This window comes from Homo sapiens, chromosome 12 (genome assembly GCF_000001405.40).
Source record: "Homo sapiens chromosome 12, GRCh38.p14 Primary Assembly".
NCBI lineage: Eukaryota > Metazoa > Chordata > Mammalia > Primates > Hominidae > Homo > Homo sapiens.
The window spans coordinates 59,307,616-59,331,406 of NC_000012.12; the positions used below are offsets into that span (position 1 = coordinate 59,307,616).

At 38.9% G+C, this 23,791-nt stretch overlaps 3 annotated features.

Moving 5' to 3' along the window:
* Positions 15,370-16,263: an enhancer, noted in NCBI's record as "OCT4-NANOG-H3K27ac hESC enhancer chr12:59716766-59717659 (GRCh37/hg19 assembly coordinates)". NCBI's record gives its function as "activates a minimal SCP1, AML or CMV promoter by ChIP-STARR-seq in naive and primed H9 embryonic stem cells {active_cell/tissue: H9 hESC(naive and primed)}" and the evidence as "EXISTENCE:reporter gene assay evidence [ECO:0000049][PMID:30033119]".
* Positions 18,947-19,840: an enhancer, noted in NCBI's record as "H3K27ac hESC enhancer chr12:59720343-59721236 (GRCh37/hg19 assembly coordinates)". NCBI's record gives its function as "activates a minimal SCP1, AML or CMV promoter by ChIP-STARR-seq in naive H9 embryonic stem cells {active_cell/tissue: H9 hESC(naive)}" and the evidence as "EXISTENCE:reporter gene assay evidence [ECO:0000049][PMID:30033119]".
* Positions 20,735-21,627: an enhancer, noted in NCBI's record as "OCT4-NANOG-H3K27ac-H3K4me1 hESC enhancer chr12:59722131-59723023 (GRCh37/hg19 assembly coordinates)". NCBI's record gives its function as "activates a minimal SCP1, AML or CMV promoter by ChIP-STARR-seq in naive and primed H9 embryonic stem cells {active_cell/tissue: H9 hESC(naive and primed)}" and the evidence as "EXISTENCE:reporter gene assay evidence [ECO:0000049][PMID:30033119]".

The following is a 23,791-nucleotide window of genomic DNA, read 5'->3' on the forward strand; positions in this document are numbered from 1 at the left end:
TTTAATTTGCATTTTATTAATTTGAAGTGGGTTTGAATATTGAAAAGCATTTTTTAGCCATTTGTATATTTTACTAATGAAATTCTTGCCAACTCCCTTAATCTTAATTTTATGAGATGCGTATCTTCTTTTCAGTGATTTGCAAAATCCTTATATTAGGAAAATGAATTCACTGTCCATTCAATATATGATTATTTTTGCAGATGGTTTTACCTTTTGATGACCTGTGTTTGATTTTGATGACCCATATTTTAAGATCTGGGTTTTTTGGTTTTTATTTATTTTTTCTTATTTTGGTCCATATTTACCTCTGCGTAATCCCTCTGTTGTATATTCTCATTCCCCAAATTTCCAGTTTTTATAATATTAATAGTAATTATTTCTAAAAGTAATACATCCAATGTAAATTACTATATAATATAAAACAATTTTTAAAGAAATACTCCTTACACCTTGACAATTTGATGACCACATCTCAAGAATAAATTGTAGATAGCGAACCTGGCAAGTGAAAAACTGATAAGATGTCATACTGCGCTGGAATATTAGTTCTCTATGCAGAAAACATCACGTTTGTTAATATGGCATGATGGCATTCTGTCCTCTCTTGGTCTCTATATACCTTTTTTATATATTTATTTAACAGTTATATGCCAAGGACTGGTAAGCAGGGCTGGCACATATGGTTGTACTTAAAATCCTGATTTTTAAAAATAGTTTTTAAACATAGGGCTTAAGTTACCTTGAATTTAGTATATTAATCTGAGGAATAAGTAAATATGTGCCAACTGCTTTTTGCATGAAAGATAATCATGGAAACGTGGAAATTGGGAAAATTTATCATTAATATGCATCTCTCTCTCCTTCTCTCTCTGTATGTACACACACATACAATGACTGTGTATATTCATTTATGTGTTATTAATTAAGGTACAAATTCAAAGGCTCTCTAATAGACGTGACACATTTATGAACTTACAACACATTTAAAAATAAATATTTAAAGGCATTTGACTGCTACAATGAGATACTGTTTCATATCTAGAAGGGCTATAATCAAAAAGTCACACGATGAAAATACTAGGAGCCTCAAGGTAGAAATGTAAAATGGTATAGCCACTTTGGAAAACAATCTTCAGTCAGTTCTCCAAAATGTCAAACAGTATTACCATATGGTGCAACAGTTCCACACTTAGGTATATAACCAATGAGATTAGATTCGGTAGTCTCAGTAGAGGTAGTGAAGTCTAAGCTGTGAATTTTGGGAAATAGAAATGACAGCATTCTGAGGTCTTACATGTTACAACTGAGAGGCTGGGGGGAATGACAGTTTTCTTTTGAGTACTCTGAATTCTCTCTGGACCTTTGCACATAGAGGGATCAAGGACTGGGGAAGAGTGTTCTTAGTTTGATTTCTTAGGGCTCCTTTATGACCTCTTGAATATCTGGAGAGTCCCTTGTACCATGCCCTCCTTGGGCAGAGTCAATCTTATCTAGACAGCATAGGGTACACTCTTTATACTTGCATTTCTTGATTCCCTGGAAGCTATAATAACTCTTTCTATTGATATATAGTAGTTACATATATTTTGGGGGTATACGTGATGTTCCTATACCTGTATATAATGTGTAATGATCAAATGAAGGTAACTGGAATATCCATTGACTCAAACATTTATCATTTATTTGGGAACATCACGATTAGTTGATTATTAGGTATACAAATAAAATGTGGCCTCCAATACATATAAACCAAAATTGACAGAATCATATGGACAAATGAATCTATCTACAGTTCTTTCATATTTGCTATATCGTGCAGAAAAAAAGATTTGAATAATATAATTAATAATAATGATAAAATTAAAAATAGAACTCTTATGCAATAATTAGTGAACAGATACTTTTCTCAAGAACATAGACAGTATTTCTGCAAATTAACCATGTACCAAGGCATAAAACAACACAAATTTCAAAGAATTAGTATCATACTGATGTGTGTTATTGATTTCTAAGCTAATTACAATGTGGCTATTTGGATGCACATTGTAATTAGTTTAGAAATCAATAACAAACATTATAACAAAAAGAAAAATATATATAAATTTAGTAAAGAAAGAAACTTCTAAATAACCAGGCAGGCAAAGAAGAATTTTAACAGAAAGTAGAGAGTAGATTTTGGAGAGATGCAGAATAAGCATTAGACAGAAATTCAGTGTCATTGACTTATAGTTGAGAAGAAAGAAAAGCTGAAGGTCAATGAGTTTAATGTTCTATTTAAGAGGCTGAAGAAAAAATTCACAGAATAAATTTAAAGAAATTCAAAAAATGACAATAATGAAGAAGCATCTAAAATAATGAAATAAAGATATAATAAAGAGCATCAAGGACAAAAGTATGTTCTTTGAAGCTAACAAAGTAGACAAAAATTGGTAAAAATAACAAATACAAATGAAATAAATATCAAAGTGGAATATAACCACAGACAAGCAGAGATTTTAAAAACAATACCAGAAAACATACCAGTTTAATGGACTGAACCTCTTTAGATATAAGCAGAAATGAATTTCCCATTTTCATACCCTTCTTGTGCAAAGATCTAGTAAAAAATATTTTGTTTTCCATTGGAAGAAATCTCTAGCAAAGCTCATAATTTTTCTAGTGTCTTAGAAAATGAAAAGTCCTTCATTTTGAGTAATAAAAGTCCAGTCCTGGTTAACATCAATACTCCAAATTGATAAAAGATTCCCTTCCTCTTCCAATTAAACCTGATTCAGTCTTTAGTAAGTGGTAGTGGTAGGAAAGATGGTGGGAGTCTTCTCTCCCTGCTCCACCCATCCCCAACTGACTAGCTGCAGTTTTACGTCTTCTGAGAAGATATTAAGAATAAAGGGGACTAAGGGAAATGGAAAAATGCTTATATGGCTAATAGTTTGCCTCTTGATGTGGAAGACCCACTCTTTTTTTCAATAATTTCCATTTTTGTTTTAGATTTGAGGGTTAAATGGGCAGGTTTGTTACATGAATATCTTGTGTGATGCTGAGGTTTGGGGTATGGTTGATTCTGTCTTTTGAGTAGTGAGCATAATGCCTAATAGTTAATTTTTCAACCTTTGGCCCCTCCCTCCTCCACTAAGTACTTCTCAATATCTACTTTTGCCATCTTTATGTCCATAAATACTCAGTGTTTAGCTCTCACTTATACGTGAGAATGTATAGTATTTGTTTTTGTTTCTACATTAATTTGCTTAGTACAATGACCTCCAGCTGCACCCATATTGCTGCAAAGGGTATAATTTTAGTTCTTTTGTATGGCTGCATAGTGTTCCATAGTGTACATGTACTACATTTTTTATCCTATCCACCATTAATAGATTCCTACGTTGATTTCATGTCTTTGCTGTGGTGAATAGTGCTGTGATAAACATATAAGTGCAGTTATCTTTTTGATAGAACAATTTATTTTTTTGGATATATACCTAGAAATGCAATTGCTGAGCCAAAGTGGTAGTTCTATTTTAAGTTCTTTGAAAAATTGCCAAACTACTTTCCACAGTGCCTGAATTAATTTTCATGTCCACCAACAGTGTATAAGCATTCCCTTTTCTCCATAGCTTCAACAGCATCTATTGTTTTTGGGCTTTTTAATAATTGCCATTCTGATTGGTGTGAGATGGTGTCTCATTGTGGTTTTGATTTTCATTTCTCTAATGATTAGTGATGTTGAGCATTTTTTTCATGTTTGCTGGCTGCTTGAAAGTCTTCCTTTGAGAAATGTCTGTTCATGCCTTTTGCCCACTTTTTAATGGGATTATTTGCTTGACTCCTCCCTAACTCATTTTATGAAGCCAGCATGACCCTCATACCAAAACCTGGCAAAGATACAGAAAAAAAAGTACAGGCCAATATCCCTGATGAACATAGATGCAAAATCCTCAACAAAATACTAGCAAACCAAATATAGCAGCACATCAAAAAGTTCATTCACCACAAACAAGTAGTCGTTATTCCTGGAATGCAAGGTTGGTTCAACATATGCAAATTAATAAATGTGACTCCTTACATAATCAGAATTAAAAACAAAAATCATATGATCATCTCAATAGACATGGAAAAAGCTTTTGATAAAATTCAACATCTCTTCATGATAAAAATCCTCAACAAACTAGGCATTGAAGGAACATACCTCAAAACAAGAAAAGCCATCTATGACAATTCCACAACCAACATTACACTGAATGGGCAAAAATTGGAAGCACTCGTTTTGAGAACTGGAACAAGACAAGGATGCTGAGTCACACCACTCTTATTCAACATAGTACTGGAGGTGCTAGCTAGAACACATAGGCCATAGAGAGAGATAAAAAGCCTCCAAGTAAGAAAAGAAAAAGTGAAACTATCTCTCTTTACCAAGAATATAATTCTATACCTAAAAACCCCAAAAGAGTACACCAAACGGTTCCTGGAACTGATAAATGACTTCAGTAATGTTTCAGGATACAAAAACAATGTACAAATCAGTAGGAATTCTATATACTAAAAACATTCAAATTGAGAGCCAAATTAAGAACACAAGCCCATTAACAATAGGCACACAAATAATAAAATACCTAGGAATACATCTAACCAAGGAGGTGAAATAACTCTACAAAGAGAGCTATAAAACGCTGCTGAAGGAAATCATAGATGACACAAACAAATGGTAAAACATTTCATGTTCATGGATTAGAAGAATCAATATCATTAAAGTGGCCATCCTGCCCTAAGCAATCTGCAAATTTAACAGTATTCCTGTTAAACTATTAATGTCATTTTTCACAGAATTAGAAAATGACTATTCTAAATTTCACATGGAACCAAAAAAGAGCCTGAATATCCAAAGCAATTCTAAGCAAAGAGAACAAAGCCAGAAGCATAACATTACCTGACTTCAGACTATACTATAAGGTTACAATAACCAAAACAGCATGGTGCTGGTACAAAAACATACAATAGACCAATAATACAGAATAGAGAACCCAGAAATAAAGCCACATACCCACAGTCATCTGATCTTCAACAAAGTCACCAAATAAACAAAGAGGAGAGGACTCCCTATTCAATCAATGGTGCCGGGATAGCTACATATTCCATATGCAGAAGAATGAAACTAGATGCCTACCACTCACCATACATAAAAGTTAAATTTAGGTGGATTAAAGATCTAAATGTAAGACCTCGAACTGTGAGAATCCTAGAAGAAAACTTAGGAAACACTATTCTGGACATCGGCCTTGGGAAATAATTTAAGACTAAGTCCTCAAAAGCAATTGCAAGAAAAACAAAAATTAACAAGCAGGACCAAATTGACAAATAGGATCTAATTAACCTAAGGAGCTTCTGCACAATAAAAGAAACTGTCAACAGAGTAAACAGACAACCTACAGAATGGGAGAAAATATTTGCAATCCATGCATCCGTCAAAGCTCTACAATCCAGAATCTATAAGGGAACCAAACAGTTCAACAAGCCAAAAGTGGATGCACTCTTATTTGATCTTTCTCTCATGAGCACTTTTATGACTCCTTCAGAGATCCCCTGTTGGGGGCATCCTCCTTACGGGGGATAACCTGGCCGTGTGGCCAATTATAACTTCACCTCAGTCCTTGAATTACTAGCTGGGTCACATTGTTTCCTCAGAGGATCCTTTTGGGTTGAGTCCCTTTTAAGATGACTCTTGGGTGACTCCCTTCTGTGGTCTCTCACCTCCTTGCCCTTTTCTCTCTCTCTTTTCTTTCTCCAGCTTTTTGGAGGCATAATTGGCCTTCTCTTGGAGGAAGAGCATTTGGTATGAAGGTAGCCTTCTCTTTCATTGCTTTGTCGGCTCCAGATTACCTCTTCTCTTTGTTTCTATGAGAATTAAGCACCATTCCCTAAATACTCTCAACTTCAGGAGACACATGTGAACCTTTCTGAGTGGCTCTCTTAAAGTTCTCTTCACTCAGCTTACTAAAACAAGGGAAAAGGAAATTGCTTCATTCCCACCCAGAAAAACAGGGGCCTGAAGAGTACATTGCCAAATCGCTCCAAAGACAAGCTTCCTTCAGGCCTTATTAGCTCTTGCTCTTTACACCAAAACAATTTGTCATGAAAAAAAATGCTGGCAATTTCATAGGAGGTAACTTGCTCTAAGTGGAGTACTTCATAGTGATTGTGTTATTTGTCCTGGGGTTTCAGCTAAGGCTGAGACAGGAGTCCCATTTTAACATCCTGTTATATCACAAATAACATTTTGCTAACTAACTTGAAAACCTAGGGAAAAAAAGGAATATTCATTAGAAAAATATAAAATTTTAGAAAACTTAAGAAAAAGTAGAAAAACCGAATAGACCTAATCATCAAAAAATTAAATTAATATTTACAAATTTAACATATTACCTCAAAAGCTAAACAAACAAAAAATAAAGTGGAAAAATATCTGCATTTTACTATGCATTTTCAAAATTTTAATGGAGGTTCTAATCATTGAAGTGGACAAGAAAAAGAAAATCTTTGAAAATTCAAAAGTAGAAAACAAAGTTATCATTTGAAGACATTTTATTTGTCCTACATAGGAATCCCCAGAGAATGTACAAAAAAAAATACTAGCTAGATTGGAGGAGTAAATGCTACTGTTCCATGTCACTAGGATGACTATAGTTCACAACGACATGTAGTTTCAAATAGCTAGAGAAAATGTTGAATGCTCCCAACACAAAGAAATGACAAGTGTTTGGGATGATGGTTATGCTAATGACCCTGGTCTGATTACTATACATTATATGTATTTAAACATCACTATGTACATGTCTCCAGACAGCTAAGATATTGCAAATAAAATAGAAGAGAGCATTGACAAAAGACAGACAGGCATCTTAGAAGTAGCAGATGAAGAGAATTTTTTCTAGTTACCAGGCATCTATTTAAAAGTAACCCCTGAAGGGAAACCTGAATTCATTCTCTGTTCTTGTCAAAATTAGTATTTTCTGAATGTTTTCTTTTCTTCGCATTTTGAATTTTAATGCTGTACCAACGAATAATGGAAAAATCATTTGACAAAGCCAAAGATTGCATTAAATTCTAGTGTGTGTTAATTGGCTTTATTAAAAATTAGCATTTTTGAATTTCTAATTCTCTTCCTAATTTATAAAATGTCATTCATTTTATCATGTATTATATTATAATTAAATTTGCATGAGAGTAAATTTTATTTGTCTGTTGCTGAAACACATAAGAATTGTCTACACAACTAATGCAGGATATTTTTATATTCTCATGTTGACAATAAAATATTCATTAATTTAAACATGGCAACAGCAGTACACATGCTGCAGTTGTAATTACCATTGCTTAGTAACTGCATGTCTCTGAGTGACAATGGGAATTAACTGAATAATTATTACATGTGCTTCTGTTTGAAATATTTTCTCAATGTAGTACTGATCCCTAGGTAGAAGTTGCCGGTTCAGAAGACATTTGAGCCAAATACTGATTCTGCTTCAGAAACCATCGATGTAATCAGCCTAAGACCAACAGCAGTCAACGATTAATCATATAATAATTAGATTATTCCTCCAGTGTCAATACGTTAGAACTAGCATGGAAAGCATTCAGGAAAACTATTTACCAGACCTGAATTTCTCCAGAGAAATCAAACACTGTACAATTAACTGAAAAAAATGAAATGTTCATGCTTTGGTTTAATTGGAAATGCAACATATCTGAAGTCCTCGCTGCCAGATCCTTTTATTGATTAGCTCTGGTGTTCTCCCAGAGTTCTCTTCTGTTCGAGTAGATTTTGCAGCATACCTTCACCTGTATCATCACTCTGATGTTCCTTATTCTAGAAGCTACAGCCATATAGAAAATTTACTTTTGCAAAATTAAGTGTTATTTTTGTCTCTCTAAAATCTGATGTTGGTTATGCATTCTGATACCTTCTTCCTACGAATACAATTGAATTTTGGGTAGAGTAACTTTATATGACAAAGCATGAGATCAGAAATGCTATTTTTATTATTATTAAACAAATTGGATTGTATTCATGTGTGGTCATTGGGATGCTCCAGATAGGTTAATGTGCGTAACTTTCCCATGGTCCATTTACACCCAAGTACTAGTGTTGGGACTTTTCCTTTTATGTTACTCCTTCCTTTGATAATCAAAAATCACAACTTTGTTTGGGGGAGGATGTTAATGAGTGTCCTAATCTCTTGTGATATGGCTGTACCTACAAGGCCAATTTTCAAGGAGACTCAGTACTCTTGGGATAAGGGTGGTCAACCTTTTCTGAATGAGCCAGAGGTGAAGAACAGGCAGCAATTTATAGAAAGTCTTTGATAGGCAATAATGGAGACCAATTAACATACCTCCCCCAGAAGGCAAAAAACTGAAGGTATTAAGAAAATAATTTTCAAAACTTGGAAATAAGACCAAAAAATGCCTGTATGTTTTTTAAATGTCATATTGGAGAATAATCTGAGAAGTCTGCCTAGACGTCATCTGTTATTCAGGGACTTCTAACTTTGCTTGACTTATTATTGGTTTTGATTTTGGCTTAGGCCCCATAAAATTAGACGTTATCTTGGAAAAATAAGAAATTGCAACTGATTTTTGCCCAATAAAGATGCAAATAATGTTTGTCAAGTACATATGTCTGTGGGGGGTGGGAGAGGGGGAAGTGTTCTAGATTTATTGTCTTTTAAACATTTTTGTACCTAATTTAGATATCTCATTTCCATATCAATTGTTTTAGCTGACTATATAAGCATCTATCTTTTTTTTTTTTCCCCTCTGTTGCCAGGGTGGAGTGCCGTGGGCACGATCTCGGCTCACTGCAATCTCCGCCTCACGGATTCAAGCGATTCCCCTGCCTCAGCCTCCCAAGTAGCTGAGACTACAGGCGCACACCAACCACGCCCGGCTAGTTTTTTGTATTCTTAGTAGAGACAGGATTTCACCATGTTGGGCAGGATGGTCTTGATCTCCTGACCTTGTGATCCACCCTCCTCGGCCTCCCAAAGTGCTGGGATTATAGGCGTGAGCCATCGTGCCGGCCCTAAGCATCTGTCTTTCATAGCCTCTTGCATTTGCTTTGTCTTTAATCATTAATAAATAATTATCGGACACATGCTCATTATATATTTATATGAGAATTCGATTATTTTTACAAAAAAATTAATAAAATTATACTTTTAATTAACTCAGCTAGAATTTGCAAAAGCTGCAGAGTTCCCATTTGTCTTTCACATGGATTTCCCTAGTGATAACATCTTATGTAATGATAGCATGATAATCAAAACCAGAAAAATAGTGTAATTACAAAAATACTATTAACTAAACTACAGACTATATTCATATTTCAACAGTTTTTTATGGGTACTTTATGCTTGTGTATAGTTGTATGAAATTTTGTCATATGTACATATTTATGTAACTACCACCATAATCAAAATCAGAAATGTTTCCTCACCCTAAAGGAACTCACTCATGCTATCCCTTTATAGTCACACTGCTGTGAAAACCTAATGTCCAGCAACCATTGATTTGTTCTTCATCACTGCAATTTAGTTATTTTGAGAATTTTATGTAAATGAAATGTATATATTTTATTCCATAAGTTTTCTTTTGTGATTGGCTTTTTTTTTTTTTTTTTTGAGGGTGTCACTGTGTCGCCCAGACTGGAGTGCAGTGGTGCGATCTCGCCTCACTACTACCTCCACCTCCTAGGCTCAAGCAAATCTCCTACCTCAACCTTCCAAGTAGCTGGGATTACAGGTGCGCTCCATTACCGCCAATTTTCGTATTTTTAGTAGAGATGGGGTTTCACCATGTTGGCCAGGCTGGTCTTCAACTCCTGACCTCAAATGATCCACCCGCCTGGGCCTCCCAAAGGGCTGGGATTACAGGCATGAGCCACCGCGCTCGGCCTGTGATTGACTTTTTTACTCAGTGTAATTCCCTTGGAATTATTCAAAGTTCAGATATCAATAATGCAAGGTTTGTCAGGGAGAGGGAAGGTGAAAGAGAGAGAGAGAGAGAGTTAGTGGCTCAACAGCAACACAGGTTTATTAAGGAAACCTGCGGAGGGGGACACCAGCACTGGAACCCACGCCCCACTTACAGAATGGGGCAGTTACAGGTCTGGACAGGAGAGGGGGAATTGTTGCAAAATGGGATGGGGCGGTGTGGTTAGCTGCTGATAAGGGAGGACTTTCCTGCAGGCAGGTGATTGGGCCTGGGACCGGCCCAGGATGTTTCTCACGGCCTGGGCCCCAGTGGAATTTTCCATGCTGGCCAGGGTGGGCTAAATGGTGGGGTTTACAAAATGGCGCAGGTTGGGCTAACAAACAGTATGTTTCTTTTTCTTACTGAGTAGTGTTCAATTTTGAAAGTGAACTGTGGCTTGTTTGTCCATTCACTCATTGAAGGATATATGAGTTGTTTCCAGTTTTTGACTATTTCAGATAAAGATGTTATAAATATTTATGTATTCATGTACAGGTATTTGCATGAATATAAGTTCTTATTTCTCTATGCCAAATTCTTAGGAGTAGGATTGCTAGGTTATGCGATAAGTGTATGTGCAATTGTGGTTTTAAGTTGCCTCTAATTAATGGTTAATGATATTGGAAATCTTTTCATGTACTTATTCTATCTATATATCCTGTTAGGTAAAGTGTCTGATTAAGTCTTTTGCCTGTTTTTTAATTAGGTTGTTTGTTTTTATGCTTGAGTTTTGAGAATCCTTTATGTATTCTGGATATATGGACTATTGAGCCTACCAACCGAGTTTTTAAAGGTTCAGTTGATTGTATTTTTCGCTCCTAAAATCTCCACTTGTTTCTTCTTTGTATCTTCTATATCTTTTATGAGACTTTCTATGTTTTCATTAATTTCAGGGGTATTTATGATACTTACTGGGGCATTTTTATAACTGTTTTGAAGTTCTTCACAGATAATTCGAATATCTGTGTTTTGTTGGCATTGCCATCTCTTGTCTTTCCTCATTTGACTGGAGATTTTCCTGGTTCTTGATATGCTGAGTAATTTTGGATTGTATCTTAGATATTTTGAATATTATACTCTGTGACACTGGTTGCTATTTAAATATTTCATTTGAACTGGCAGCATTTAGATTCAGAATGCACATTCTGGCTGGGTGCAGTGGCTCACTCCTGTAATTCCAGCACTTTGGGAGGCCGAAGCGGGTGGATCACAAGGTCAGGAGTTCAACACCAGCCTGACCAACATGGTGAAACCCCATCTCTACTAAAAATACAAAAATTAGCCGGGTATGGTGGCATGTGCCTGAAATCTCAGCTACTTAAGAGGCTGAGGCAGGAGAATCTCTTGGACCCGGGAGGTGGAGGTTGCAGTGAGCCAAGATCGTGCCATTGCACTTCAACCTGGGTGACAGAGTGAGACTCTGTCTCAAGAAAACAAAGCAAAACAAAAAAAGCACATCCTAGCTGGCCTTTGTATTACAAGAGACCAATTTGAAACTTGGGTGGTATTCCATACCACAGTTTTGTTCCCAAAGCTTTTGCCATTTTGATTCTAGTTGGTTTTACACATGGACCACTTGGGGATGAGCTTAATATTGCATACACAAATTTAAATAATTCTTTCCACCAGCTCCTTTATTATTAGTATTATTTCAATTTCCTCTTGCACTCTAGCTGAAAGAGGGAAGGGTGCCATGTTTCTGACTGTCATTTGTTTTGTTCAGGGCATGAGTAGTCCCCAAGTTCCACTCTCTACAAGGTTTGATTCCAAACAACTTAATTTATATGTCAAAAGACAGAATATCCATGGTTTCTCTTTTTGTCTAACAATCCTTCTCCTCAGTGCCTTGTGGATGGTTCTGACTGCTTGAAGGCAGGCTCAAAATACACATGGAAGAAAGAAAGCACACATGGATTGATATTTTAAAACTTGATCACATTATATTTCTACAGGCCATTCTTAATTTAGATTGCCAATTAGCTATGAAAATGTATGGTTTTGATTGCTATGCACAGCATTGACTTTCTGTTTGCATTATTGTTGACATATCACCCAGGATGTTTGCTCTAATAAGTACTTGCTGCTTTTCACTCCAAAGCTTTCCCTGGAGTTGGGTTGCGAAGTGTTTAGTTATAAAACTTTAGTAGCTTTACTCAGAAACAATGATGCAGTTGAGGATTGCATTCAGATTCAGTATTTGGACACAAATAAGTCACAGATGTGATTAAAAAATTGGTGTTTTAGTAGAAAAAAAAACAAGGATTTCAAGGTTATGCAGACCTGTTTTCAAATCCTAGCTTGGCACTATAAGTTTGAGTAAGGTTATTACTCCCTGAGACCCTGTTTCATCATTTAGGATAAGAGATAACCACAACCAGGAAAGGACTGTGGGCCTAATCAATACTTTATACAAAGAGGCCATTAGGGACACTTCTTGATGCAAGAACTGTCAATTTACTTCTTTACCAGGCACAAAAAGAAGAAAATGACATTAAGAGTTGGTAGTAATGGAAAAGCTAAATTTAAAATTTAATATAAAAATTATGATCTAAGAAAGAGAAATATTTCAGACCAAAAGAGACTTTCTAACCCAACTTCTCATTTTTCATATAACAAAACTGAGGCTCCAAGGGGTGAAGAGACTTGTCTGGTGTATTTCATGTGTCCAGAGACAAATCTGAGGCCAGAATTCTAATCTCCTGATCAGTAGGCCACTAGACCTTAACACCGTGGCACAAATATCTCATATAAAACCCTCTAAAATGGAATATATTATGCTAATGGATCTTTACAGCAGATCCTAACATACTATAAAATGTAAACAGGACATATAAACTAAAACTCTACTGCATCACTAATTATTATCATTAACTGATATGCTAACTACAAGAAACATTAAACATTTGACTAAAAGCATTGCTTGCTTTAGAACACAGGAGCTGCTGGGGATGAAATAGATGATTCGAGTCATTTGAAAAGGCTATCTTGGGAAATTCAACTGGATACTTTTTATATTTGTAGACAAATATTCTTATAGCAAAGGAAGCTTAAAAGTTCTATCATTGCCGGGTGCGGTGGCTCACGCCTGTAATCCCAGCACTTTGGGAGGCCGAGGCGGGTGGATCACGAGGTCAGGAGATGGAGACCATCCTGGCTAACACGGTGAAGCCCCATCTCTACTAAAAATACAAAAAATTAGCCGGGCGTGGTGGCGGGCGCCTGTAGTCCCAGCTACTCAGGAGGCTGAGGCAGGAGAATGGCGTGAACCTGGGAGGCGGAACTTGGAGTGAGCCGAGATTGCGCCACTGCACTCCAGCCTGGGCGACAGACTGAGACCCTGTCTCAAAAAAAAAAAAAAAAAAAATTATTTCACTGAATATTTATTTATAAACATCATGACTAGGTATGGATGTTTGATTGCATCTTTAGGATTTGGAGAGGAATTGGCAAAAGAAAATTTTGTAGTATATATCCTGGACTAGCTTGACATTTTACAGAAAATCTTTTTAAATTTCTTCCAACTTATAGAGAATCTGGTACCTCAAACAAATGAGATCTCTTTATTTTATTCTTATAGACAAAAATGGAAGAGACACCATACCTATTATCCTTCCTGCTCATTCTCCCACCCATGTCATAAGAATATACGTTCAATTTTCAGATAATTTTATTATCAGGATATATGTAACTTTTGGCTAGGATTGTGTTCATGTCTTCCCCTGGAATATGACTTAGTTTTGGTGCTAGCTCTTGCCCTGAAGTGGCACTAAATCTAAAGCTAGATGGGTTATTTATACATGATGACCAAATGTAACAGTCTCCATTTCCAGGTCTCTGATTGGGCAATATTCTCCAACTCTCACCCAAATCATTTTCCATGGATCAGAACAGATCCAATTGCTTCCTAGTCCCTAATCCCAAAGGCTGTCACTTCACTTATGGGAGGAGGCTTGTTTCCCACTGTTGTTTCCTCCTAAGACCCAGGCAGAAGAGAAAAATCTAGTTTATAGATGTTCCTATAGTTATCTTCATTAAATCAGATTTTTTTGCTTAGATTATATTGACCAGTACAATTGGTACAATTTTGCCTTTGTTTCATGGTTCATATTTGAGGCAAAACACCCTTTTGGAACTCTGACATTAGTGGTACTTTCAGCTCTGTTTTTCAAAGGGAAGAAAAATCAAAACAATTTTTTTAGAAAAACAGCTTACTTTCCCCTTTTTATTTGCCAAGATAACAAACAAAACCTTAGTTATTCATTCAAATAAAAAAGACTGTGCATTTGTGTTTATGTTTATTTTTAATTCTCCATGACATTAAACTCTCTTCAAAAAAGTTGATCACTCTAGCCCTCACACCAGTGGGCTCCAATGTGACATGTGTTATGTTGTAGCAATTATTTGAATGATGTTTATCGAAAGTCCCAATTTGAATCTCTTTTGCGTTCAGCCTAGCATTGAGGAATACATGGCTATAGCTGGCATTCTTGTAGGTTGGCTGTTCAAAGGCCTTGTTTAGATGAAAACCAAGAAACACATATCCTACAAGAAGAAAAAGTAAAAGTGCACCGTCTGTTTCAAAAGCAGTAGTTTCCTGCTAGAAGGCAAATTTGAGTACAACTTGGTATTGGTCACTCAAGTTGTTCTCCAGTTGGCCCTTACAAATTCATGCCTTGATTCTTGGGCAAAAAGGCTAATAATAAAAGAGTAGATGAAAACTAAAAATGCCTCTTCTTTCAAACCTGCACAAAATATTGAGAGCATGGAGCATCAGAAATGTTAGTGTCAGCAGTTATAAAGGCAAGGAGGGGTGGTACCATTGTACTGGCAAGCATGAGAAATGGTGCCAGAAGTACAGACAGCTATGCAGGACCTAGATATCGGTCAGTGGCTGTTGAAATGTAGAAACTGGCAGGCACTGGTCCCAGTGGTGGCACCTTCAGTGGCCATCTGCAATAGTATTTCTGGTAGCACCACCAGTGAGCAGCATCAGCATGTCATATTCAGAAGGCAGGGAACAAGAGACAGGCTGCTTTGAGACAGGCCCTGGATGACGGCCAACACTGGCAACAAAGCCTTCTGTGTGCTTTGGCTTTACAGTTCAAATTTCTTTTTTGAAGAATAGAGTGATGGTCATCAGAATTAGCTGAGGCAGAAGAGGAGGCAAAATGGTAATCTGGAAGGTTGGTTTATGGCAAATTCATTAGGCACTCCTTGGGAAATCTCAACTGTGTGGTAGAATTTGAAGAAAACTGTTTTTGCTAATAGAAAGTCAGTAAAATCCAGTAAAATGCTGGTTTTGTGACTGCCTCCCCTCCCCCATCCCCCTGCAGACTGGTGTGATCAGAGAAAAATAGGCCGCGTTTGCTCAAATGGTTACTAAATAACTCTTGTTTTCAAGGATAGCTTTAAAGAAAAAAAGAATGTACAAAATGCCACTTGAGAGATGTGTAATTTGAAAAGAAAAAGAATGGTTGTTCTTTTTTGATTTGCTGTTGTTGGGGTAATTTCAGACTATTTTAAAATATTCACTGGTAAAGTCTCTTTCATGTGCGTCTGTGTGAAGAGACCACCAAACAGGCTTTGTGTGAGCAACATGGCTGTTTATTTCACCTGGGTGCAGGTGGGCTGAGGCCGAAGAGAGTCAGCAAAGGGAGACAAGGGTGGGGCCATTTTATAGGATTTGGGTAAGTAAAGGAAAATTACAGTCAAAGGGGGTTTGTTCTCTGGCAGGTAGGAGTGGGGGTCGCAAGGTGCTCAGTGGGCAGGAGTGGGGGGGTCACAAGGTGCTCAGTGGGGGTGCTTTTTGAGCCAGGATGAGCCAGGAAAAGGACTTTCACAAGGTAATGTCATCAGTTAAGGCAAGGACCGGCCATTTACACTTCTTTTGTGGTGGAATGTCATCAGTTAAGGTGGGGCAGGGCATATTCACTTCTTTTGTGATTCTTTAGTTACTTCAGGCCCTCTGGGCGTATATGTGCAGGTCACAGGGGATGTGATGGCTTGGCTTGGGCTCAGAGGCCTGACATTCCTGCCTTCTTAATAAGAAAAATAAAACAAAATAGTGTTGAAGTGTTGGGGCGGCGAAAATTTTTGGGGGGTGGTATGGAGAGAGAGTGGACGATGTTCCTCAGGCCTGCTTCAAGAGGGATTAGGGGCGGCGTGGGAACCTAGAGTGGGAGAGATTAAGCTGAAAGGAGATCTTGTGGTAAGGGGTGATATTGTGGGGTTGTTAGAAGAAACATTTGTTGTATAGAATGATTGGTGATGGCCTGGATATGGTTTTGTATGAACTGAAAAACTAAATGGAATAAGAAGGAGAAAAACAGGTATAAAAGGTCTAAGAATTGGGAGGACCTAGGACATCTGATTAGAGAGTGCCTAAGGAGATTCAGCATAGTCCTGCCAGCAAAGATTATTTATTTACTTCAAGAGTTAAGAGTGGCGGTTTGGGGATAGCACGAGGAGATATCAGCTGTGATGGCTTGGATAAACAGTGTAAACTGGCAGTGTAAAGAAGAGCAGGGCATGTATGAGTAGTTGAGAATGGAGAATAGGAGTATGACTAGACAGAAAACAGTAGGGATGACAAGCTTTTATTGGGGCACAGTCTAAGTTGGTCCGGTGTCTGGAATGAGACTGGGGCCTAATAAAAAGGAGCATCTATACAGGAGCTTAAATGGGCTGTACCTTGTAGCATTCCGAGGACAGGCCTGAATTCTGAGAAGGGAAAGTGATAAAAGTATTGTCCAGTCCTTTTTGATGGCTGAGCTTGGTGAGGTGTGTTTTTAAAAGACCTTCAGTCCATTCTACCTTTCTTGAAGATGGAGGACTGTAAGGGATATAAAGGTTTCACTGAATACTAAGAGCCTGAAAAACTGCTTGGCTGATTTGACTAATAAAGGCTCATCTGTTATCAGACTGTATTGAGGTGGGAAGGCTAAACTGAGGAATTATGTCTGACAGAATGGAAGAAATGACTGCGGAGGCCTTCTCAGACCCTGTAGGAAAGGCCTTTACTTATTCAGTGAAAGTGTCTATTTAGACTAAGAGGTATTTTAGTTTCCTGACTCAGGCATGTTGAGTAAAGCTAGTTTGCCAGTCCTGGGTGGGGGCAAATCCTCGAGCTTGATGTGTAGGGAAGGGAGGGGGCCTGAATAATCCCTGAGGAGTAGTAGAATAGCAGATGGAACACTGAGAAGTTATTTCCTTGAGGATAGATTTCCACGATGGAAAGGAAATGAGAGGTTCTGAGAGGCGGGCTAGTGGCTTGTACTATAGCATAGCCTGCCTTTGCTGGTATGTGGCGACTAGGCCTGGTGGAACTGCCATCAATAAATCAAGCGTGATCAGGGTGAGGAACAGGAAAGAAGGAAATTTGGGGAAATGGGGTTAATGTCAGGTGGATCAGAGAGATACAGTCATGGGGGTCAGGTGTGGTATCAGGAATAATGTGGGAGGCCGGATTCAAGTATGGGCCAGGAACAATGATAATTGTGGGAGACTCAACAGAGTGAGTATAGCTGAAGGAGCTGGGAAGCAGAAAGTATATGCGTCAGGTATGAGGAAGAAAATAGATTTTGGAAGTTATGAGAACTGTAGAGAGTGAGTTGAGCATAGTTTGTGATTTTGAGGGCCTCTAAAAGTATTAATGCAGTGGCAGCTGCCGCACGCAGACATACGGGCTAGGCTAAAACAGTAAGGTCAAGTTGTTTGGACAGAAGGCTACAGGGTGTGGTCCTGGCTCTTGTGTAAGAATTCTGACCACCCTAACCATGCCTAGGAAGGAAAGGAGTTGTTTTGTAGAGTTTGGGGTTTGAGAGATCAGTCAGACACGATTGGCAGGGAGAGCACGTGTGTTTTTATGAGAATTATGCCGAGATAGGTAACAGTTGAGGAAGAAATTTGGGCTTGATTGAAGTAATGGGGGCTGTCTGTGAAGCTTTGCGGCAGTACAGCCTAGGTAATTTGCTGAGCTTGATGGGTGTCAGGGTCAGTCCAAGTGAAAGCGAAGAGAGGCTGGGATTAAGGGTGCAAAGGAATAGTAAATAAAGCATGTTTGAGATCTAGAACAGAATAATGGGTTGTAGAGGCAGGTATTGAGGATAGGAGAGTATATGGGTTTGGCACCACGGGGTGGATAGGCAAAACAATTTGGTTGATAAAGTGCAGATCCTGAACTAACTTGTAAGGTTTGTCTGGTTTTAGGACAGGTAAAATGGGGGAATTGTAAGGAGAGTTTATAGGCTTTAAAAGGCCATGCTGTAGCAGGCGAGTGATAACAGGCTTTAATCTTTTTAAAGTGTGCTGCGGGATGGGATTTTGGCATTGAGTGGGGTAAGGGTGATTAGGTTTTAATGAGATGGTAAGGGGTGCGTGATCGGTCGCCAAGGAGGGAGTAGAGGTATCTTATACTTGTGGGTTAAGGTAGGGGGATACAAGAGGAGGACGCAAAGGAGGCTTTGGATTGGGAAGAAGGGCGGCAATGAGATATAGCTGTAGTCCAGGATAGTCAGGGAAGCAGATAATTTAGTTAAAGTGTCTCAGCCTAATAAGGGAACTGGGCAGGTGGGGATAACTAAAAAGGAGTGCTTAAAAGAGTATTGTCTAAGTTGGCACCAGAGTTGGGGAGTTTTAAGAGGTTTAGAAGCCTGGCCGTCAATACCCACAACAGTTATGGAGGCAAGGGAAACAGGCCCTTGAAAAGAAGGTAATGTGGAGTGGGTAGCCTCCATATTGATTAAGAAGGGGACGGCCTTACCTTCCACTGTGAGAGTTACTGGAAGCTCGGCGTCCGTGATGGTCTAGGGGGCTTCTGAGGCGATCGGGCAGTGTCAGTCTTCAGCTGCTAAGCCGAGAAGATCTGGGAAGGAGTCAGTCAGACAGCCTTGGGCCAGAGTTCCAGGGGATCTGGGAGTGGCTGCCAGGTGAGTTGAACAGTCGATTTTCAGTGGGGTCCCACACAGATGGGACGTGGCTTAGGAGGAATCCCGGGCTGTGGGCATTCCTTGGCCCAGTGGCCAGATTTCCGGCACGTGTAGCAAGCTCCTGTTGGAGGAGGTTCTGGAGGAACGCCTGGCCGCTGTGGTTCAGGCGTTTGGAAGTTCTTGTGTGCTGGAGATGTGGCTGGGGTTTGTCTCACAGTGGAGGCAAGGAATTGCAACTTTTTTCTATTATTGTACACCTTGAAGGCGAGGTTAATTAAATCCTGTTGTGGGGTTTGAGGGCCGGAATTTAATTTTTGGAGTTTTATTTAATGTCGGGAGCAGATTGGGTAATGTATTTTGAGAATAAGACGGCCTTTTGACCTTTTAGTGTCTAGGGCTGTAAAGTGTCTCAGAGTTGCTGCCAAACAAGTCATGAACTGGGCTGGATTTTTATATTTGATGAAAAAGAGCCTAAACGCTATCTGATTTGGGACAAAGAAAAAGGAGCATTAACCTTGACTATGCCTTTAGCTCCAGCCACCTTTTCAAGAGTAAATTGCTGGGCAGGTGGGGGAGGGCTAGTCACGGAATGAAACTGTAAGCCGGACCAGGTGTGAGGAGGGGAGGTGATAAAAAGATTATAGGGTGGAGGAGCAGAGGCTGAGGAAGAATTGGGACCTAGCTCGGCCTGGCGAGGAACAACCTGGGGAGGAAGGGAGAGGTCAGATGGGTCTGTAGAAAAGGAAGATTAGAAAGACTCAGCGACGCTTGGGGTTGGTACTGAGGGGACAGGTGGGAGGGAAAGAAGGAAGATTTGGGACGAGTTGCACTGGTCACAGAGACTAGGAAGGGACTAATGTGGAAAAGAATGCCTGGACGTCAGGCACCTCAGACCGTTTGCCTATTTTACAACAAGAATTATTTAGATTTTGCAGGATGGAAAAATTCAAAGTGCCATTTTCTGGCTATTTGGAACTACTGTCGAGTTTGTATTGGGGTCAAGCGGCATTGCAGAAGAAAATAAGGCATTTAGGTTTTAGGTCAGGTGTGAGTTGAAGAGGTTTTAAGTTTTTGAGAACACAGGCTAAGGGAGAAGAAGGAGGAATGGAAGGTGGAAGCTTACCCATAGTGAAGGAGGCAAGCCCAGAGAAAAGAGTAGAGACACGGAGAAGTGTTGGGGGGTTCTTGTCCTCCAGAAAAGCGGAGAAGGGGTTGGGGCACGGAAATAAGGGATTGGGGCACAGAGATAAGAGGTCAGGGTGTGGAAATAAGGGATTGGGGCACAGAGATAAGAGGTTGGGGTGCGGAAATAAGCGAATGCGGGCTTCTTGCCCCCTAGGAAAGCGGGACTTGCCGCCAAGGGTGAAGGAGAAGGGGTTGAGGGGTACTTGCCCCTGCCCCAGGAAAGCGGGACTTGCCGCTAAGAGTGAAGGGGAAGTGGTTGAGGGGTACTTTCCCCTGCCCCAGGAAAGCGAGACTTGCCACTAAGGGTGAAGGACCAAGGCAGGCGTCCCTGTGTGGTCTGACACCCTTGAAACGTGAGTGTATAATCAGAGAGGCGTCCCTGCAATGATTAAACACCAAGGGAAGGCTGCCTTCCCAGTCCGTGACTGGCGCCGGAGTTTTGGGTTCATGGATAAAACATGTCTCTTTTGTCTCTACCAGAAAATGAAAGGAATTGAAATTAAGAGAAGGGAGAGATTGAAGTGTGGCGCCAAGATTGAAAGGAGAAAGAGGTTAAGGGATAGTGAGGGAGGTTGGAGAAGAGAGTAAAAAGAGGCCGCTTACCAGATTTGAAATTGGTGAGATGTTTCTTGAGCTGGTCGGTCTGAGGACCTGAGGTCGTAGGTGGATGTTTCTCACGGAGCAAAGAGCAGGAGGACAGGGGATTGATCTCCTAAGGGAGGTCCCCCGATCCAAGTCACGGCACCAAATTTCATGTGCGTCCGTGTGAAGAGACCACCAAACAGGCTTTGTGTGAGCAACATGGCTGTTTATTTCACCTGGGTGCAGGCGGGCTGAGGCCGAAAAGAGAGTCAGCGAAGGGAGATAGGGGTGGGGCCGTTTTATAGGATTTGGGTAGGTAAAGGAAAATTACAGTCAAAGGGGGTTTGTTCTCTGGCGAGTAGGAGTGGGGGTCGTAAGGTGCTCAGTGGGCAGGAGTGGGGGTCACAGGGTGCTCAGTGGGGGTGCTTTTTGAGCCAGGATGAGCCAGGAAGAGGACTTTCACAAGGTAATGTCATCAGTTAAGGCAAGGACCGGCCATTTACACTTCTTTTGTGGTGGAGTGTCATCAGTTAAGGTGGGGCAGGGCATATTCACTTCTTTTGTGATTCTTTAGTTACTTCAGGCCATCTGGGTGTATACGTGCAGGTCACAGGGGATGCGATGGCTTGGCTTGGGCTCAGAGGCCTGACAGTCTCCTAATTCTTTTTTGTGCAGATACTGCTAAATGGGGAAATAAATGTATTGAGTTGTCTGAACTGTAACTTGAGTCCTGGACCCCAAAGACACATACAAGAACATTATATTTTTATTTTCTTTCTTAAAACCCAAATAACTACCTCTTCCATTCTCCAAAGAAGTATGCCTCAGGCAGTCTGAATCACATGACAAAAAACGTGTATATGCTTGCTTTTCCAAAAAAGGTAAGAAAATCACCTGAAATCAAAAGATGTCTTTCCATAATAAATTCCCCTCAGGTATTTTAAGTGTTTACCATCTTGTGGGAGAAAAAAATTTAGAATGAAGTAGGTGACACACTGAAAATGAAGCAGTTCCATTTGGAAACATATACTGCCAACAGGATTTATCATTTTCAACTTTTACCGTGGGAGTTGAGCACAATATCTTAGTGAATATCTTTCTTTCTCTGCACAAACCCCATTTCTCTGTCCTACAGACAGTATTAGCAGCTCCTGTCTACTTAACATCAAAAATGAAGATAAAACATCTCTGAAGCAAATAAAATCGATGAATGAAGAAGTTTTGATTTACAGTTCAAATTCAACTTTCCTTGACACATCTAGTGAGATATTCCCAGCTGCATTTCCCCTCTGCAGGGCTTGTTAACTGCTCCTCTGAACTAAGATGCATCTGAAAGTCTGTGTTCTCTCTTTGAAGGGGACATAATAAATACCGACTGGTCATCCTCTTTGTTATATGGTTGCTGAATACAAATACAGTGGTTTTCATTGGAAAGTGTGAGGGTTCTAACCAGGTTATTACAACTTCTGAAACCATGAGAGTGACCATGTTTGCAGGGATTTTCTGAAACAAACAAACAAAATCTCTCCATAGCTGCCTAGATATACAGATCAGTCTAGGAAAAACACATACATTCTCTATCTCTCTCTCTCTTGCACACACACACACACATGCACAAAGTGATATATGTATGTAGACATGTGTAGAGATGATAGATTCAGAGAAGGAGCCGGATTGATAGATGTAGAGAGATTAATAAATGAAATGAGACACTGTAAAATGAACACATACATCATAAATATTAGGAACTACAAATTTGCATAATTCTAAGGAACACTTGCAATTATAACATATACCAAAGTATTCACTTATAATCAAAGAAATATTTTTGTGTATACTTGAGGTAATCCAGCAAATGTACCCCACTTTCTCATCTGATCTCACTTGGTGAGAAATAGATAATAGTGAAGCAAATAGCAAAGCACTGTGTCCTTAAACATTTCAAAAGGGTATGGCATGTGAGGCTCCCATGGGAATTATCGTCACATTTTCTAAAACCGAACCCCAGTGTTAAACAAATCTTTTCTATCCAGCCACAAGCAATGCTGTGTGCTTTAAGCCTCCCTGAGGGAGTGCTCTTGGAACTCTCAGAATCATATTCAGGGTTGCTATATTCAATAACCCAATATGTCTTACTCCATGACATTCCTTGCAAAGAAATGCAATAAGCATAGTTTAAGTCTTTACTCACCTAAAGCAGCTCTCAAAAGACTGCCCTTCCTAGAGCCCTTTGAAAGGCAATAAGTATGCTTTTTCTATCACAAGACCCCACCCCAATGGCTAACTGCATCAAGAGTGGCCCTAACACAACGATGACCATCTGTACACTCCTTGCTTACTTAATTGTAATTTGTGAGGCTTGGATCAAGACAGATGAGATCAGTGATTTCGAGTTCTGTGAAGAATTTACATGGAGATACTGAGAAACTGTGGAGTTTAGGTGTGGTGGGTCATCATCATAAAGGATTCCTTGATTTTGAGCAAAGCGCCTGAAGCCAAGATAATTATTAAGAAACTTCAAGAGGGAAGATGGACCTCGGAAAACCAACATGAGATTCTGTTTTCTATACACACATGGAAATTAAATATAGTTTTATGTTTACTAAAGAATATTGTACTGTTTTTAAGCAAATTAGCAAGTCAATGAACATAATCCTAAAAAACATATATTTGAAATTGATGACATTTAAAAAGTTAGATTTTTAATTTTACCTTATAATTAATTATATTATTTAACAGAACAATATTAAAAAACTCACCACTCTTCATTGGCCTTTAAATTGAGTCAAATATGTCTCAGATTCTTTAAGTGTAAAGAAAAAAAGTGACCACATTTTTCTCCTTGAGGAATGGATGCTACTTAACAAGCACTATTAAGGAATCAACTGCAAACTAGAATAATTTAACCTCTTTTTTCCGGCACTGAATTGCCCTTTAAAAATGATAATTGGTGAGTTAAATAAAAATTCATATAAGCTTGCCCTTTACATAGCTATCAATATTTGTCAAGTTTTTATGTAATAAAATGTTCTTGGCATTTCTGTAGCATATCATATGCCAATGATTTTCAA